General features: G+C 39.2%; 1 protein-coding gene across 2 annotated transcripts in view; it reads left to right on the top strand.

Moving 5' to 3' along the window:
* Nucleotides 1-18,789, top strand: part of SPPL3 (signal peptide peptidase like 3) — a 141,849-nt gene that overhangs the window by 19,051 nt on the left and 104,009 nt on the right. The window contains exon 1 of one of the 2 annotated variants that reach the window (XM_011537925.3): nt 1-18,789. This exon is cut by the window's left edge and continues 16,298 nt beyond it. The exons of the other annotated variant lie outside the window; for it this stretch is intronic. Within the exon in view, the coding sequence (XP_011536227.1) occupies nt 18,767-18,789 (23 nt within the window). The 5' untranslated portion in view covers nt 1-18,766. 2 annotated transcript variants of the gene reach the window in all.

The following is an 18,789-nucleotide window of genomic DNA, read 5'->3' as shown; positions in this document are numbered from 1 at the left end:
GAATTAAAGAACACCGTAAGTGGTACTATCTTTTTAATCAGTTTATTTGGTGGTTCTGTTGAGTTTTTGTATACATTATTATTTTGATAATTTCCAAATATTTTATACTTTGACACTTGTTCATTAGCTTCATTTTTGAAATGTGTCTGAAAGCCTTAGCCTTACTAAGAAAGAAATGTCTTTTAGTTGAGTTTGAAATGCTTTGATTTGTTGGTATTACAAAGTATTAATATAAGGGTTTTTTTGTTTGTTCCCAACTGAGTGCAGTCTGCAGTGATTAAGCTCCAAATTAGTTGGACCAGTAGGGGCGGAATTGGAAGCCTTACTTACACTAAATAATGCCATTCCTTTAGGGGATAAAATCTGGTTTAGACCTCTTTGGTAACAAAACAAGACCTTAACTGAAGTTATTTCTAGTATCTATTTATTGAATAGGTGTGACTTGTCACCCACTTCACACACCATTGTTACCTTTCTGAAAGCCAAAAAAAAAAAAAAACCCAAAAAAAAAACCCAAAAAAACTCTAGCCATAATTTTGAAACATCTCCAGCCATAAGGGTGTCAGATAAGGAATTATGAAACTGTAATACCATATTTTATTGGTGAAAATATTGAAAAGTGTAGATAAACACAAAAAGAATAGAAAAACTACCCACAATTCTACCAACACAGAGAGATCTTTCATTAAATTTGTTGCATATCTTTCAGGTTTAAAAAAAATCCATATATTGTGACAGTTGGTTTTTTTTTTTTTTTAAATTATACAAGTTGTTGAAACCCAGAAATCCCAAATAGAAGTAAAAAAAGAAAAATCCTAATTACCTAATATTTAACTTACTTAGAAAATTTATGGTAACATTTCATGTTACCCTTTTGGGCATTACATATAGGAACTGTAGATCATTTTTTACACAAAAGCAGGAACAGGTTTATACTGTGCTTTCATTTTTATGTGATATTTAATGTCTACAGAAGAATATATGATTTGTATGTGTAGCATAATGAACGCTCATGAACTTCACCAGTTAAAGAAACTATAGGATTACCAATGTTCTGGAAGCCCCCTTTGTACTCTCCTTTGTCCTTCCTCATGCCTCTGTCCCCTGTCCCCGTTTAGGTGTAACCACTGTCGTGAATTTTGTTTACCATCCCTTTGCTTTTTAAAAAAACTAGATTTACATCTGCATTTTTTTTTTTTTTTTTTTGAGACATAGTTTCGCTGTTGTTGCCCACGCTGGAGTGCAGTAGCGTGATCTCAGCTCACCACAACCTCCGCCTCCTGGGTTCAAGCGATTCGCCTGCCTCAGCCTCCTGAGTAGCTGGGATTAGAGGCATGCGCCACCACGCCCGGCTAATTTTGTATTTTTAATAGAGACAGGGTTTCTCCATGTTGATCAGGCTGGTCTTGAACTCCCAACCTCAGGTGATCCACCCACCTTGGCCTCCCAAAGTGTTGGTATTACAGGCATGAGCCACCACGCCCGGCTTACGTCTACATTTTAATGTTTTACTGTACAACATGTTTTGTTTTGCTTTTTTAAATAAGTTTATAAAGATGACATATATTGTCTTTTATAATTTGTTTTTTTCAGTCAATATTTTTTCTAAGATTTGTCCCAGTTGTTGCATTCCTTTCCAGTGCTGTATAATGTTCCATCCTGTGAATATATAATCACATTATTTATCTGTTCTGATAAATATTTAGTTTCCAGTTTGAGGCTATTTCAGAGGAGTCTTGTGAACATTCTTGTATATTTTCCTGGTATTTATGTTTCAGAGTTTTCTTAGGGTTTATATACCTGGGAGTAGAATCTACCATTATCTTTTATGGTGAGTGCTTTTTGTGTCCTAAGAAATTCTTCTCTAGCCTGAAGTCTTGAAGATAGTCTCCTATATGTTCCTCTAAATAGGAATAGGTTAGAGTTCAAGCTTTGCCTTTCACATAGAAGTTTTTAATCCATCTAGAATTAAGTTTGTTTTTTGTTTGTTTGTTTGTTTTTTGAGACGGGAGTCTTGCTCTGTCGCCCAGGCTGGAGTGCAGTGGTGCGATCTCGGCTCACTGCAAGCTCTGCCTGCCAGGTTCATGCCATTCTCCTGCCTCAGCTTCCTGAATAGCTGGGATTACAGGTGCCCGCCACCACGCCTGGCTAATTTTTTTGTATTTTTAGTAGAGACGGGGTTTCGCCGTGTTAGCCAGGATGGTCTTGATCTCCTGACCTCGTGATCTGCCTGCCTCAGCCTCCCAAAGTGCTGGGATTACAGTTGTGAGCCACCACGCCCGGCCTCTAGAATTAAGTTTTATATATCTGTGTATGGATTAGTTAGGAATCCAATTGTCCCAGAACTATATGTTGATAAAATAGTCCCTGCTTTCCTCAACGATCTCTAGCATTACCTCTGTGATTGGTTTTAAAAAGCCAGGGTCTAGCTCTGTTGCCCAGGCTGGAGTGCAGTGGTGCCATCATAGTTAACTGTAACCTTGAACTCCTAGCCTCAAGCAATCTTTCGCCTTGGCTTCCCACAGCACTGGGTTTACAGATATAAGCCACTGTGCCCAGGTGGAGATTGTTTTTGTATGTGTGTTTATGAAAGTAATGTTAAAATGGTAAATAGTGTTTTGTTATATGCTTTTTAAAATTAAATATATCTTGAATGTCTTTTGATACCATTTAATATATAATCAGTTTTTGTGGATACATAGGAGACCACTGTATTCAATCTCTCTAGTTTTTATTATATCACTTTTATTCCTGATCTTCCAGTTGCCCTGTCTCAAGAAAGCTTATAACCAGTTTTCTTTCTATCTTTCTAGAAATGTGTGCATGAAAACACATGTGTATACAAAGTCCTATGCAGTACCCCTGTTATATTGCAGTAAAATACACATAGCATAAAATTGACCATTTTAAGTGTCACTGAACTCAGTGGCATTAAGTACATGCACATTATTGTGCAACCTTCACCACCATCCATTTCCAGAACTTTTTAATCTTCCCAGATTGACACTGTATACAGTAGTCCCCTCTTATCCACATCCCAAGACTCCCAGTGGATACCTTGAAACTGCCGATAGTACTGAACCCTGTATATACTGTTTATTCAATCTGATAACCAAGATGGTTATCAAATGTCAAACTGGTGGGTAGGGGTAGTGTATGTATATAGCATGAAGATGGTAGACAGAGGGATGAGTGACATCCCAGGCAGGAGGGAGCAGGATGGCATGAGACTTCATCATACTACTCAGAATGGTCCACACTTTAAAACTTACGACTTTTTTCTGGAAATTTCCATTTAATATTTTCAGACCACGGTTGACTGCATGGAAGGTGAAACCATAGATAAGTTTAATCGGAACTACTGTACCCATTAAACTTTTAACTCCTCATTCCCCTCTCTCCCCACACCCTGGCAACCTTTGTTCTCCTTTCTGTCTCTGTGAATTTGACTATGCTAGGTACCTCATATAAATGGAATCTAACAATATTTTGTTTCTTTTTTTTTTTGTTATTGGCTTTTTCACTTAGAGTAATGCCCCCCGAGCTTCATCTATATTTAGCGTGTGTCAGAATTTTCTTCCTTTTAAAGGCTGGATAATACTTGACTGTATGGGTAAGACCACATTTTGTGTATCTGTTCATTTGTTGATGGGCAGTAGTTGCTTCCACCTTTTAGTTACTATGAGTAATACAATGAATATTGGTGTACAAATATCTGTTCGAGACCCTGCTTTCAGTTCTTTTGGATATAAACCTAGAAGTGGGATTGCTCAATCTCGTATGGCAATTCAACATTTAATTTTTTTCCTTCTCTTCTCTTCTCTTTTTTTTTTTTTTTTTTTGAGGCAGTCTCACTCTTTTGCCCAGGCTGGAGTTCTGTGGCGCTGTCTTGGCTCACTGCAACCTCTGCCTCCTGGTTCAAGTGATTCTCCTGCCTCAGCCTCCCAAGTAGCTGGGATTACAGGCACACACCAACACGCCCAGCTAATTTTTGTATTTTTAGTAGCAACAGGGTTTCACCATGTTGGTTAGGCTAGTCTTGAATTCCTGACCTCAGATGATCCTCCCGCCTCGGCCTCCCAAAGTGCTGGGATTACAGGCGGGAGCCACCGCACCTGGGCAACATTTTAATTTTTTGAGGATCCACCATTACCATTTTCCATAGTGACTGCCAAATTTTACATTCCCACCAGCAATGTATAAGGGTTTCAGTTTTTCCACATCCTTGCCAACACTAGTTGAATTTTGTGTGTGTGTGTGTTTTCTTTCAATAGCCATCCTAATGGGTATGAAGTGGTATCTCATTGTGATTTTGATTTATATTTCTCTAGTGATTAGTGATGCTGAGCATCTGTTCACGTTTATTGACCATTTGTGTATCTTTGGAGTAGTGTTTATTCACGTCCTTTGTCCATTTTTTTTTTTGGCTGGGTTGATTGTTGTTGAGCTGTAGTTATTAGTATATTCTGGATATCAATCCCTTATCAGTTATATGATTTGCAAATAATTTTTTTTTCCCCCGAGACGGAGTCTCTCTCTGTCGCCCAGGCTAGAGTGCAGTGGTGTGATCTCGGCTCACTGCAACCTCTGCCTTCCGGGTTCAAGCGATTCTCCTGCCTCAGCCTCCCGAGTAGCTGGGACTGGAGGCACGTGCCACCATGCTCAGCTAATTTTTTGTATTTTTAGTAGAGATGGGTTTCACCGTGTTAGCCAGGATGGTCTCCATCTCCTGACCTCATGATCTGCACACTTCAGCCTCCCAAAGTGCTGGGATTACAGGTATGAGCTACCACACCCGGCCGATTTGCAAATAATTTCTCCCATTATGTAGGTTGTCTTTTGATTTTGTTAATAGTGGCCTTTGGTGCACAAGTTTTTACTTTTGATAAGGTTCAATTTTTCTGTCTTTTGTTGTGTGTTCTCTGGTGTCACATCCATGAAATCTGCCAAATCCAATGTCATGAAGCCCTTCTCTTTTTTCTTCTAAGGGTTTTTAGTTTTAGCTCTTATTTGTATGTTTTTGATCCATTTTTGAGACTATTTTTGTATAATAGTAAAGGTCCAACTTCATTCTTTTGTGTAATTCATTTTTAATAGGATAGTAGTGTACCATATACGCTGAGATTCGTTATCTGGCTTTTTTCACTCAATAATGTGTCTCAGCCCCAGTGTTTTTTTTTCATCCTGTCCTCCAGTAGCCTGTTGAGTGGTGTGAGTCAATATGTAGGAAAGCTTTTGAACATGGCTCCCTTCACTAACAGTTAAAATTAAAAGAAAATCAAGTAGGATTGTTAAACCGAGGAATGAAAAGTGAAAAAAAAAAAAAGATAAAAGCAGGGAACAGAGGTGGAGTATGGGAATTCCAAGTATCACCAACTTCTGCTTTTAGGGCAGATTGCAACTTTATTGAAAATTTGTGAGGCACATTGTTAAACTCTGTATATATATGTAAGTTTTTTAAATCCACATTTGACTGCATGTGTATATATATAACTTTTACCTTTAAATCAGTCCCCTGAAATGTAGGTGGTGTTTTTCCCATTTTACAGATGAAAAACTGATTACTTACCCAAGATTTTATAGTTAATGAGTGGCACATGTAGCATTTGAACACAGGTATTTTTGACTCTGCAATTAATGGTTCTCTGTGATAATGAGAACCTTTAATCAAGTAAGCTTGAAAAAGGCTGCATATTAAATCCCTCTCTTGGAAATTTGGTCTGAATTAGCATATTATGAGCTATGAGAAGTTGGGCGGTAAAAATCTCTGTTTAATTTTGCTTTAAATATTAAGACGCTTACTTGCTTAAGGGAAGAGTTTGCTCAGCGTGTTAACAATACCTGGAACAGTTCTCCTTTAACATTATTTTGGGAAGTACCACTCACAGTTGCATTCTATTTTCTTGTTTCAAATCAAAGGACAGTAAGTTAAATCCTAACTAGGTGAAGAAGAGAATCAGTCCGTAGAATTCTCTAACACAGACCAGGTGTGCAGCTTTTGGAGCGGGGGAGATGAGGAATGTCAGTTTATACTTCAAAGTCTGCTGTGATGATGTAACTCAAAAGTAATGTGCTTTTCCAGAGGTGAATTGCATGTGACTGCAGCTTCCCCTGTCTACATGACAGGTATTAAACTGTAGCTTTATTTTATTTTAGTTTTATTATCTTATTCTTTTTTTTTTTTTTTTTTTTTTGAGACAGAGTTTTGCTCTTGTTGCCCAGGCTGGAGTGCAATGGCGCGATCTCGGCTCACCACAACCTCCGCCTCCCAGGTTCAAGTGATTTTCCTGCCTCAACCTCCCAAGTAGCTGGGATTACAGGCGCCCGCCACCACACCCAGCTAATTTTGTATTTTATGTAGAGACGGGGTTTCTCCATGTTGGTCGAGCTAGTCTTAAACTCGCGACCTCAGGTGATCCACCCGCCTCAGCCTCCCAAAGTGCTGGGATTACGGGTATGAGCCACTGCGCCCGGCCTTATCGTCTTATTCTTAACCCTACAAGGAATGCAAGGCTGTAGCTTTATTTCAGTGTGTATGATATGGTAAGATAACACAACAGAAGGATTTAAGGCATAGATAATTTAAGAAAAAATAATTTTTGACCAGCAATACTTCTTACATATGGGCTTTGAGTTTAAGGATTTTATCTTGGTCCTGAATTGTTCATTTTAGCTCTGCCACTGATAAACATAAGCTGTGATATAGGAAATGAAAGATTGTCTCTATTATGGGCGTATTATTTAAATATTGAACAGAAACTCGTGTCAGAGATGGTCAGCAAATGAATGAATCAGCAGCCCATTAGCGTTTAGCTTGTAAGAGAAAGTCATTTATCAGCTGAATTGAGACCCAATCCCTTGATTAGGCATTGCTTTTAGTATTCAGTAGGGCTAATCCTATCTTTATGTTTTTACAGAGTGTTCTTTGATATTTTTGCCCACTTATTTTTCCAAGTTTTCCCAAGTTCCGTAAAGTATCTTGTTAATGATTTCATTGGAAATATGTTACAGCTGTTACTTAACTGGGACAAAATCTTCATGATATTCTGGTATATTCCTTCTCTGCAACTGACCAAGTTTTTGTTTTTTGTTTTTTGTTTTTTAAATACTACATTAATTACCAAATATTTTATACTTTTTGTTGTTTTAATTAAGATATTTCATTTTTTTCCTAGCTGGTCATTACTGGTATGTAGAAATACATTTTATTTTGGCCTTTACAATTCCTTTCTTATTTCTCACTCTGATATTTTTATTTTCCTGTTTAATTAATTTTTTTTTCTTTTTTAAGACAAGAGTCTTGCTCTCTTGCCCAGGCTGGAGTGCAGTGGTGCAGTGGCTCACTGCAACCTCTGCCTCCCAGATTCAAGCGATTCTCCTGCCTCAGGCTCCCAAGTAGTTGGGATTATAGGCGTGAGCCACCATGCCCAGCCTACACTGATTGCTTTTCAAATATTAAACCAGCCCTGCATTCCTGAAATCATAACGTGTTATGCTTTTTCTTTCTTTCTTTCTTTTTTTTTTTTAAGACGGAGTTTCACTCTTGTTGCCCAGGCTGGAGTGCAATGGCACGATCTCGGCTCACTGCACCCTCCACCTCCCAGGTTCAAGCGATTCTCCTGCCTCAGCCCCCCGAGTAGCTGAGACTCCAGGTGCCTGCCACCACACCCAGCTAATTTTTATATTTTTACTAGAGACAGGGTCTCGTCATGTTGGCCAGGCTGGTCTTGAACTCCTGACCTTGGGTGATCCACCCGCCTCGGCCTCCCAAAGTGCTGGGATTACAGGCGCGAGCCACCACTCCTGGCCGGGTTATGCTTTTTCTGTATGGCAGGGTTTGATTTGCTAACATTTTGTTACAGATTTTCATGTCTCTATTCATGAGACACACTGGTCTGTGATTTTTTTAGGTCTTTAGTTTTGGTATCAGGGTAATGCTGGCCTTATAGAATGAGTTGGGAAGTGTTTTCTGTCCTCTTCTGGAAGATGGTGTAGAATTGATAATTCTTTCTTCAAATGGTTGGTAGATCACTAGTGAAGTCATCTGGACTTGGAGTTTTCTTTGTGGGAGGATTTTAAGCTACAATTTCAATTTTGTTACCAGATATTGGCCTGTTTAGGCTATATATTGATTTAGGGTTTGTATGTATCTTTATCCCAATTTATGTTGAAATTGGTAGTTTGTCTCTTTCCATTTCATCTACGTAGTCTAATTTGTTGTTTGTATAAGTTTATAGGTTTTTTTTTCTACCTTTTAAATGTTTGTAACGTCTGTTGTGATGTTCCTTCTTTCATTCCTAGTGTTAGTAATTTGTACTTCTCCCTTTCTCCTGATCAGTTTAGCTAGATGATTTTATCTTTTCAAAGAATTGCTTTTAGTTTCATTGCTTTTTCTCTAGTGTTTTTCCATTTTTTTGATGTCTGCACTCATGTTTATCACGTCCTTCTTTCTTTGCATTTAATTTGTGTGTGTGTGTGTGTGTGTGTGTGTGTGTGTGTATGTGTTTCTCAAGGTAGAAGCTTAGATCATTAATTTGAAAACTTTCTTTTTTTCCAGTATAGGTATTGAAAATTATACGTTTCCCTCTAAGCACTTTTTAGCTGCATGCTGTACATACTGTACATTTTGGTCTGCTTGATTTTCATTCAAGTCAAAATATTTTCTTTCTTCTTTTTTTTTTTTTTTTTTTTGAGACAGAGTCTCGCTCTGTCACACAGGCTGGAGTGCAGTGGCGCGATCTCGGCTCACTGCAAGCTCTGCCTCCCAGGTTCACGCCATTCTCCTGCCTCACCCTCCCAAGTAGCTGGGACTACAGGTGCCCGCCACCACGCCCAGCTAATTTTTTGTATTTTTTTTTAGTAGAGACGGGGTTTCACCGTGTTAGTCAGGATGGTCTCGAGCTCCTGACCTCATGATCTGCCCGCCTCAGCCTCCCAAAGTGCTGAGATTACAGGCGTGAGCCACTGTGCCTGGCCCATTCAAGTCAAAATATTTTCTAATTTCCCTTATTATTTCCTTTGACCCATGAGTTATTTAGAAGTGTTTTTTCTTCTATTAATTTCTAGTTTAATTCTCCTGTAGTTAGAGAATATGCTTTGTATTATTTCAGTCTTTTTAAATTGAGGGATGGAGGTTGTGTGTTTTTGGTGGTCTAGAATATGATCCATGTTGGTGAATGTTTTAAGTACACTTGAAAATAATGTATATTCTGCTGTTACTGGGTGAAATATTGTATAAGTATCTGTGAAGTCAAGTTGGTCAGTAGTCCTTGGTGATTTGGGTGGGGGGGGTCTGTTTGTTTTGCCAATCACTAATCATTTTGTAATATCCCTCCTAATATTCCTTGTTCCAAAGTCTACTTTGTTGATATTGACACCACTCCAGCTTAGTGCCTGTATGGTGTATGTATTTTCTTTATCTTTTTAATCTGTGTATTTATATTTAAACTATGTTTCTTATACATAGCATGTGGCCGGATCTTACTTTTTTGTCCAGTTTGACAATCTGCCTTTTAGACTAGGTGTATCATTTACATTTGATGTAATTATTGATATGCTTATGTTAAAATTTTTTTCCTTCTTGGAATTTATTTTTCATCTTTTTTCTCCTTTTCCATGTTTTCCTGCCTTTTTAAAACATGAAGTATTTTTGTGATTCCATTTTATCTCTTTTTTTTTTTTTTGAAATGGAGTCTCTGTCGCCCAGGCTAGAGGGCAGTGGCACAGTCTCGGCTGACTGCAACCTTCACCTCAGGGGTTCAAACAATTCTCCTGCCTCAGCCTCTGGAGTAGTTGGGATTACGGGCGTCCGCCACCATGCTTGGCTAATTTTTTGCATTTTTAGTAGAGATGGGGTTTCACCATGTTGGCCAGGCTGGTCTGTTCTTGATTTACTAGCTTCACATCTTTGTTTTATATTTTTAGTGGTTGATACAGGGTGTATAGTATGCATCTTCATCACCATCTATGTTGAAATAATGTTATACTATTTCACCTGTAACTTAAGCATAATTTTAAAAATTTTAAATTTTTTCTATTTTAATTTTTTTCTGTTTTAGTTATTTTCATGGCATAAAAGGCCACCAGTAATTAGTGCCTTAAAACAACACTATTGCCAATTTAGTCTGTGGGTTAGGCATTTGGATGGGGCACAGCAGAGATGTTCTGTCTTTGCTTCATGATGCCTGTGTCCTCTGCTGAGGCAGCTCAAAGCTGGGGGCTGGGAGTATCTGAAGGTTTACCCACTTGCATGTTAAGCAGTTGATGCTGGCTCAGACCTTAGCTTAGTCTGTTGGCCGGAACCCGTGCACATGACCTTTTTATGTGGCCTAAATTTTCTTACAATCTGGTAGTTGGGTTCCAAAGGCAAATGTCCTAAGAGAAGAGAGCCAAATAGAAGCTATATTGGCTTTTGTGACCCAGCCTTGACTAGTGTCACTTCTGCTATATTTTTTAGGTGGAGGCAGTTACGGAGGTTTGTCTGAATTCAAGGAGAAGGTGCATAACCACCTCCTACCCCACCAGCACACACACACACACTCACACTCACACATCCTCTCCTATCCCAAACTCTCCCCCACATCACACACACCCTCTCGTATCCCAGCCCACATGCTCTGCTTCCAGTGTGACATCGACAGGAATATTGATGCCATATTGGAAGCAAGGCATGTGGGCTGGGAAAGGAGGCAGTCTTTGGAAAATATAGTCTACCACACTGCTGCCTTTGTGCTGCTGTTATCAGGCATTTTAATTCTTTGTATGTTATGTTACACAATACATTATTATTTTTGTTTTAAACATGTCTTTTACATTTACTCACTTATTTCTTTTATTCTTTTTTTTTTTTTTTTTTGCGACAGGGTCTCGCTCTGTCATCTAGGCTGGAGTGCAGTGGCGCAATCTCAGCTCACTGCAACCTCTGCCTCCCAGGTTCAATCAATTCTCCTGCCTCAGCCTCCTGAGTATCTGGGACTACAGGCACCCATCTCCACGCCCAGCTAATTTTTATATTTTTAGTAGAGATGGGGTTTCACCATGTTGGCCAGGTTGGTCTCGATCTCCTGGCCTCAGGTGATTCGCCTTCCTCGGTCTTCCTAAGTGCTGGGATTACAGGCGTGAGCCACCACGCCTGGCCATATTTACCATTTCTTTCACTCTTCATTTCTTTTTGTAGATGCACATTTCCATCTGGTATTTTTCTTCTGTGTGGAGAAATTCCTTTAACATTAGTTGTAGTAGGGTTCTGCTGATAATGAATTATCTCAGCTTTTATTGGTCTAAAGTATTTTGTCTCCATATTTGAAAACTATGTATCACTGGGTGAAGAAGTTTATATTGACTTTTTTTCCTTCAGTACTTTAAAGATCTCCCATTTTCTTCTTGCTGCATGATTTCTAATTTCATTTTTTAATTAATTAATTAATTAATTTTTTTGAGATGGAGTCTAGCTGTGTTGCCCAGGCTGGAGTGCAGTGGCATGATCTTGGCTCACTGCAACCTCCGCCTCCCGGTTTCAAGTGATTGTCCTGCCTCAGCCTCCTGAGTAGCTGGGATTACAGGCACGTGCCACCACACCCAGCTAATTTTTGTATTTTTATTAGAGACGGGGTTTCACATGTTGGTCAGGCTGGTCTGGAACTCCTGACCTCATGATCCACCCACCTCAGCCTCCCAAAGTGCTGGGATTGCAGGTGTAAGCCACTGTGCACGGACTCATTTTTATTTTTGTTTCTCTGAATAATACGGCCTTTTCCTTCTGGACACTTGAAGTTTTTCTTTTTACCACTGATTTTTAGCACTTTGGTTATGATGTGCCTTGATGTGGTTTTATGTATGTTTCTTTTGTTTGGGGCTTTTTGAGTTTCTTAGATCTGTGAGTTTATGGTTTTCATTATATTATGAAATTTGCAGCCGTTATTTCTTCAAATTTTTTTTCTGCTTTCCCTTTTGCCCTTCCTGTATTCTAGTTCAGCTGTGTTAGACCACTTGATCGTGTTCCACAGGTTACTTAGGCTTTGTTAATATTTTTTCAGTCTTCACTGTGGGTACTTTTTACTGCTGTGTCTTCAAGTTAAACCATCTTTCCTTCTGCAGGGGGTCTCATCTGCTGTTACTCTCAGCCAATGTGTTTTTCATTTGAGATACTGTACTTTTAAAATCTTTACAGTTTCCATTTGGGTCAGAAAAACTATTTGTCTCCTTTCCACATCACATTCATATGAACTGTATATTGTTTGTTTTAACGTCCTTGTGTTCTAATTCCATTATTTCTATCATTTGTAGATTTATTTCAATTAATTTTTCATCTGGATATGGGTCTTTTTCACTTCTTCGTATGCCTGGACATTGTGAATTTTATATTGCTGAACACTGGATTTGCTGTATTCCTCTAAAGACTGTCAGATTGTATTTGGTCACACAGATAAGTAATGTTTGGATCAGTTTGATCCTTGTGAAGCTTACTTTTAAGGTTTTTGTGGCTAGTAATAGCGGCCTTTAATCCTTGGACTAACTTGGCCCCCCTACTAAGGTGTTGATCCTTCTAAGGCCCCGTGCTTTTTTCATGGTCAGAGTGACCAGCCCTGTGGGAGCTCTGGGAAGTGTTGGCCCTATTGCTTTCCAGTAGATTGTTCCCTGACCTTGGGGAGACTTCCTCTCAAGCACTTGGAGATCCGAGACTGAAAGGAACCCTTCTGCCAGACCTCCGGAGCCCTCTGCATGCAGCCCCCGCTTCTCCAGTACTGGGTCCTGCAAATTCTGGCTGCCTCAGCTTCCCCCAGCTCTGTTGGCTCCTCAGTGCATTGAGACCCTTGGATTTGGTTTCAGTGTTCTGTCCCTGAAGTATGAAGCCTGGGAGTTGTCTCCAGGCTTTAAGTTTGGTTAGTCATAAAATTTACCTTCTTTTTTCCTTTCCCTGGAGGGGGATCACAGTCTTGTGCTACTTTTTGCCCAGTGTCTAAAACTTGTTATTTCATGTGTATTGTCTGGTTTTCTAGCTGTTTATAGTGGGAGGACAGTTACTGTAGCAGTTACAACTTCATGTTCCAAATTGAGAGTCCTCCTGTTTAAATTTTGTTAATATAGTCAGCCCTCTGTATCTGTGGGTTCTGCATTATTGGATTCAACCAACCATGGATCAGAATTTTTGGAAAAGAAAATAATAACAATACAATGATAAAACAACACACATTCTTTAAAAATACAGCATAACAACAGGTTGAGTATCCCTAATCCAGAAATCTGAAGTGCTCTAAATTTTGAAACTTTTTGAGTGCCATGATGCTCAAAGGACATACTCATTTGAGCATTTCAGATTTTTAAATTAGGGATGTTGAACCAGTAAATATGTAATGCAAATATTCCAAAATCGGAAAAATCCCAGATCCAAACACTTCTGGTCTCAAGCATTTCAGATAAGGAATATTCAACTGTATTTATATAGCATTTACATTGTATTAGCTATTATAAGTAATGTAGAGATGATTTAAAGTATATGGAAGGATATGTGCAGGTTATATGCAAATACTGTGCCCTTTTTTTTTATCCCTCCCTGAGACGGAGTTTCATTCTTGTCACCCAGGCTGGAGTGCAGTGGCACAATCTCGGCTCGCTGCAACCTCCGCCTTGCAGGTTCAAGTGATTCTCCTGCCTTAGCCGCCCGAGTAGGTGGGATTACAGGCGTGCACCACCACACCCAGCTAATTTTTGTATTTTTAGTAGAGACAGGGTTTCACCACGTTGGCCGGGCTGGTCTCGAACTCCTGACCTCAAATGATCCACTCATCTCAGCCTCCCAAAATGCTGGAATTACAGCTGTGAGCCACTGCACCTGGCCATTTTATATAAAGGACTTTAGCATATGTGAATTTTGTTATCCAAGGGGGATCCTGGAATCAATCCCCCGTGGATACCAGGATACCAAGGGATGATTGTACTTTCAGTGATTTATCACTTTCATTTGTCAACAGATTTTATGTCAATTCTGCTTTCTACTTTGCCAGCTTTTTTTCTTTTTACTTTTTAAAAAACTGTGGTAAAATGTATATATAACATAAAATTTACCATTTTAATCGTTTTTAAATGTACTGTCATGTGGTATTATGTGTATTCACATTGTTGTGCAGTCATCATCACTGTTTACCTCCAGAACTTTTTCTTTTTTTTTTTTTTTTTTTGGAGACGGAGTCTCACTCTGTCGCCCAGGCTGGAGTGCAGTGGCATGATCTCAGCTCACTGCAACTTCTGCCTCCTGGGTTCAAGCGATTCTCCTGTCTCAGCCTCCCGAATAACTGGGACTATAGGTGCCTGGCGCCATGCCCGGCTGTTTTTTTTTGTGTTTTAGTAGAGACAAGGTTTCACCATGTTGCCTAGGCTGGTCTTGAACTCCTGAGCTGAGGCAATCTGCCCGCCTCCGCCTCCCAAAGTTCATCTTCTTAAACTGAAACTCTGTACTTATTAAACAGCAACCTTCATTTTCCTCTCACTGAGCCCCTGGCAGCCACCATTCCACTGTCTATGAATTTGACTGCTCTAGCTAGGTCACATAAATGGAATCCTTTATTTGTCCTTTTGTGACTGGCATACTTCACTTATCATGTCTTCAGGGTTCATCCCTGTTGTAGCATGTATCAGAATTTAAGAATTAACTTTTTTTTTTAAAGCTGAGTAATATTTGAATGTATAGATAGGCCACATTTTTCTTACCCATTCTTTCATCACTGGGCATGGGTTGCTTCCACCCTTTGGCTATTGTGAATAATGCTGCTGTGAACATTGCTGTACAGACATCTCTCAAGACTCTGCTTTCTGTTCTTCCCAGTTTGATTTTTGCATTTATCTTTGTATCTTTTTTCTTTCTTTTTTTCTGAGACCGAGTTTCACCCTTGTTGCCCAGGCTGGAGTGCTCAATCTCTGCTTACCGTGACCTCTGCCTCCCGGGTTCAAGTGATTCTCCTGCCTCAGCCTCCCGAGTAGCTGGGATTACAGGCATGCGCCACCACGACCAGCTAATTTTGTATTTTTAGTAGAGATGGGGTTTCTCCATGTTGGTCAGGCTGGTCTCAAACTCCTGACCTCAGGTGATCCACCCGCCTCAGCCTCCCAAAGTGCTGGGATTACAGGCATGAGCCACTGCACTTGGCCCTTTTTTTTCTTTATTACTTTGCTTTTATTCTGAATCTGAAGATGTGTTCTTTTTTCCATGTTGACAATATAATTTAAAACTGAACGTTTCTTTTACGGTCTGCATCCTTTACAGTAAGCTAAACATTTTTGGTTACATTTGTTGAAAACAGTATGAAAGATTCAATGGCTTTATGTCACTGACAAATTTTCATTTTGGACAACATGCTAGTGTGAGTAGTTTCTGGTCCAGTGAAATCCAGTTTTCAGATATTCCTATTTTTGGATTCTCAGCTGTGTATTTGAAATCATCACATTTGAAATTTGTTTGTTCCAGAACATATATGTTCTCATTCTTGTTTGTACTTGAGTCATGTTTAATCACATATATTTGTAGTATGCTTAGATGTAGTAGTTTCCATTTTCATAACTACTTTTCTGTTGATCCATTATGGTGAATTGCAGCTACAAAGTCATACTGTGTAGTAGCGAAAATGCTAACATAAGAAGTAAATAGTAGCAAGCAAAGGATTTTTAAAATATCCAACCTAGTCATATATACCCGTTTAGCTCAGTAGTTCTCAGCTGTGGTAATACCATTCTCTGGTGTGCATTTTTGAAATTCATGAGAACATTTTTGTTTGGCACCATAGTAGAGGTCGTTACAGGCATTTAATGGACAGGGTTTAGGTCTGCTAGATGTCTTGCAGTGTGCAGGAAAGTGCTACAGCGAATAACTATTCTGTCTCATATGGTGTTTGAAGCTCCTTTAATTAAGTCTAAAATATTTTACATATAAACACAAATCATTTTTTACATGATAAACTACATTTTCTATGAATGGCACTGTTGTGTAAATCAAGGAGTGAGTAATGTTTTTTCATTTAAGGCTTTACCAAGAGTTTGCCATTTTGGTAGAATGCATCACCTACAGCAGTACTCCTCATGGTATCGTAGTCACCATTCGACACACCTGATTCAGTCTGCATTTGTTGCTGTCACATTCATGGTGATGTTTCAAATTGATGCAAGCATTTTATTATATCATGTTATTTCCTAGTGTATTGGTGCTCGAGTTTTAATATATTAAATAGTGTTTTATTATGAATCAGCTTCCTTTTCTTTATTCCCCATATTATAGTTAGGACATTGTAATTTTTTAAGTTATGTAGACTATTAATATAATTTCAATATAATGAAGAGACTTAAAATTTTTCATTATGAACAGATGTTAGGTGTGGTAAACTTGGGAGCCAGTGAATTGACTGAATTATAGCAGTCGCTATGGCACCTCCACAGCCTTTAAGATTACTTCAGTATTTCTGTGAAAAGTTATTAATATTACACTTCAGATGTATATGAAAATATTATTTTATTGATTTTCCTTAGAAATTACCACACCATTGGCCGGGCATGGTGGCTTACCCCTGTAATCTCAGCACTTTGGGAGGCCGAGGTGGGTGGATGACGAGGTCAAGAGATTGAGACCATCCTAGCCAACTTGGTGAAACCCCGTCTCTACTAAAAATACAAAAATTAGCTGGGCATGGTGGCATGCGCCTGTAGTCCCAGCTACTTGGGAGGCTGAGGCAGGAGAATCGCTTGAACCCAGGAGGTGGAGGTTTCAGTGAGTCAAGATTGTGCCACTGCACTCTAGTGACAGAGTGAGAATCCGTCTCAAAATAAATAAATACAAATAAAACAAAAACAAAAAAAAAGAAAAAAGAAATTACTACACCATCTATCTGTTGACCACTTGACAAGTGATTGGGTGATACTGGTGGTCCGTGGACTACACTTTGAAAAGCAGTGCCACATATCCTGTATTGCTTTTGTATTAACCTTGTTGTCCTCAATTACTGAATTTGCTCTGTACTCCACTTTATCAGATACCATTTTTTCCCTAACATTTTTTTTTTTTATTTTGCAGTGACAGGGTCTTGCTCCGTCACCCAGGCTGGAGTGCAGTGGCATGATCATGGCTCACTGCACCCATGACCTCCCAGGCTTAAGGGATCCTTCTGCCTCATCCTCCTGAATGGCTGGGATTATAGGTACACACCACCATGCTTAATTTATTTTTTGTAAAGATGAGGTCTCACTGTGTTGCCTGGGCTGAACTATAATTTTTATACATAGGCTGGGTGCCGTGGCCCATGCCTGTAATCCCAGCATTTTGGGAGGCCAAGGCATGCGGTTCACTTGAGGTTAGGAGTTCGAGACCAGCCTGGCCAACATGGTGAAACCCCGTCTCTACAAAAGATACAAATTTAGCTGGGTGTGGTGGCAGGTGCCTGTAATCCCAGCTACTCGGGAGGCTGAGGCAGGAGAATCACTTGAACCCGGGAGGTGGAGGTTGCGGTGAGCCGAGATCATGCCTCTCTGCACTTTAGCCTGGACAACAGAGCGAGACTCTGTCTCAAAAAAAAATTTTTTTTTAATACATGAATTGTCTAATACCATAGTTGTTCAACTCTAAGATAAACTTCTTCTCAGCACCATTAAGTATGTATATATATATATACATTTTTAAGACAGAGTCTCGCTCTGTAGCCAGGCTGGAGTGATCTTGGCTCCCTGCAACCTCCGCCTCCCGGGTTCAAGCGATTCCTCTGCCTCAGCCTCTCAAGTAGCTGGGACTACAGGCACGTACCATCACACCCAGCTAGTTTTTTGTATTTTAGTGGAGACAAAGTTTCACCATGTTAGCCAGGATGGTCTCGATCTCCTGACCTTGTGATCCACCCACCTCGGCCTTCCAAAGTGCTGGGATTACAGGCGTGAGCCACCGCGCCCAGCTACACCATTAAATATTTTTGATGGTCCTTTGTAGTTCTTAATGTCAAAAGAAATTCACCAAGTGCTGTCGCAGATGTCATTGCCTGCATATATATAAACTTTGCCATGCATGGAGGTGTCTTTTCAACCATTTATCATCAGATTAAAGTTATTTGCACTGACAACATTACACATGGCTGAATTTTAAGTTACATTTAGATATGTAATTATTTTCTGTATCTTTCTCAAAAAGAGTGTGCTACAAGGATTATTTTATATGTAGGAAATAGCCTGTTCCAAGATAAATAATACAGTTAAAAGCAATAGAAATTGCTAAATCTTAGGAGTACATTGTAGAGTTTGAGAGATAATGGAGGTTACCTATGACTGACTCATGACTTAGGATGGATTATCACTCAAGCACTAATGTTTTAAAAAACGTTCCTTATTTTTAAGAGAAACTGCTTAATTTCTAGGGACATCTATTTGAGGAAAGATGAAACTGAGTTTAAAGACAAAATTCAGAGGATTCTCAGATGTTCTTTTATTTGCCTCAGAATTATGCTGTCAGTCCCAAAGATGTCAAAAAGAACAGAATTCTGACTTTGAGAAGTGACATGTTTGATACTATTGCATAACTGGAGATGGCCAAAAGTTCAGAAAAATCACTAGACTTTGAATGTTAAGAAAGTTTCAGTTCAAACTTTTATCAGATTCTGAAAAGGAAAGTGGTATGTAACTGTTTTGAGAAATGTATGCTATTATTTTACAATCCATTGTGTCTTAGAATAGAAGAAATACATTATTTCTCCGTTTTAAATTCTTTCCTTTTTTTGAACATGCCTTTTTCAGGATAAACTTTGCCATGTGTGGAGGTGTCTTTTCAAG

This window comes from Homo sapiens, chromosome 12 (genome assembly GCF_000001405.40).
Source record: "Homo sapiens chromosome 12, GRCh38.p14 Primary Assembly".
Taxonomy (NCBI): domain Eukaryota; kingdom Metazoa; phylum Chordata; class Mammalia; order Primates; family Hominidae; genus Homo; species Homo sapiens.
This window is presented reverse-complemented; position numbering and strand designations above follow the sequence as displayed.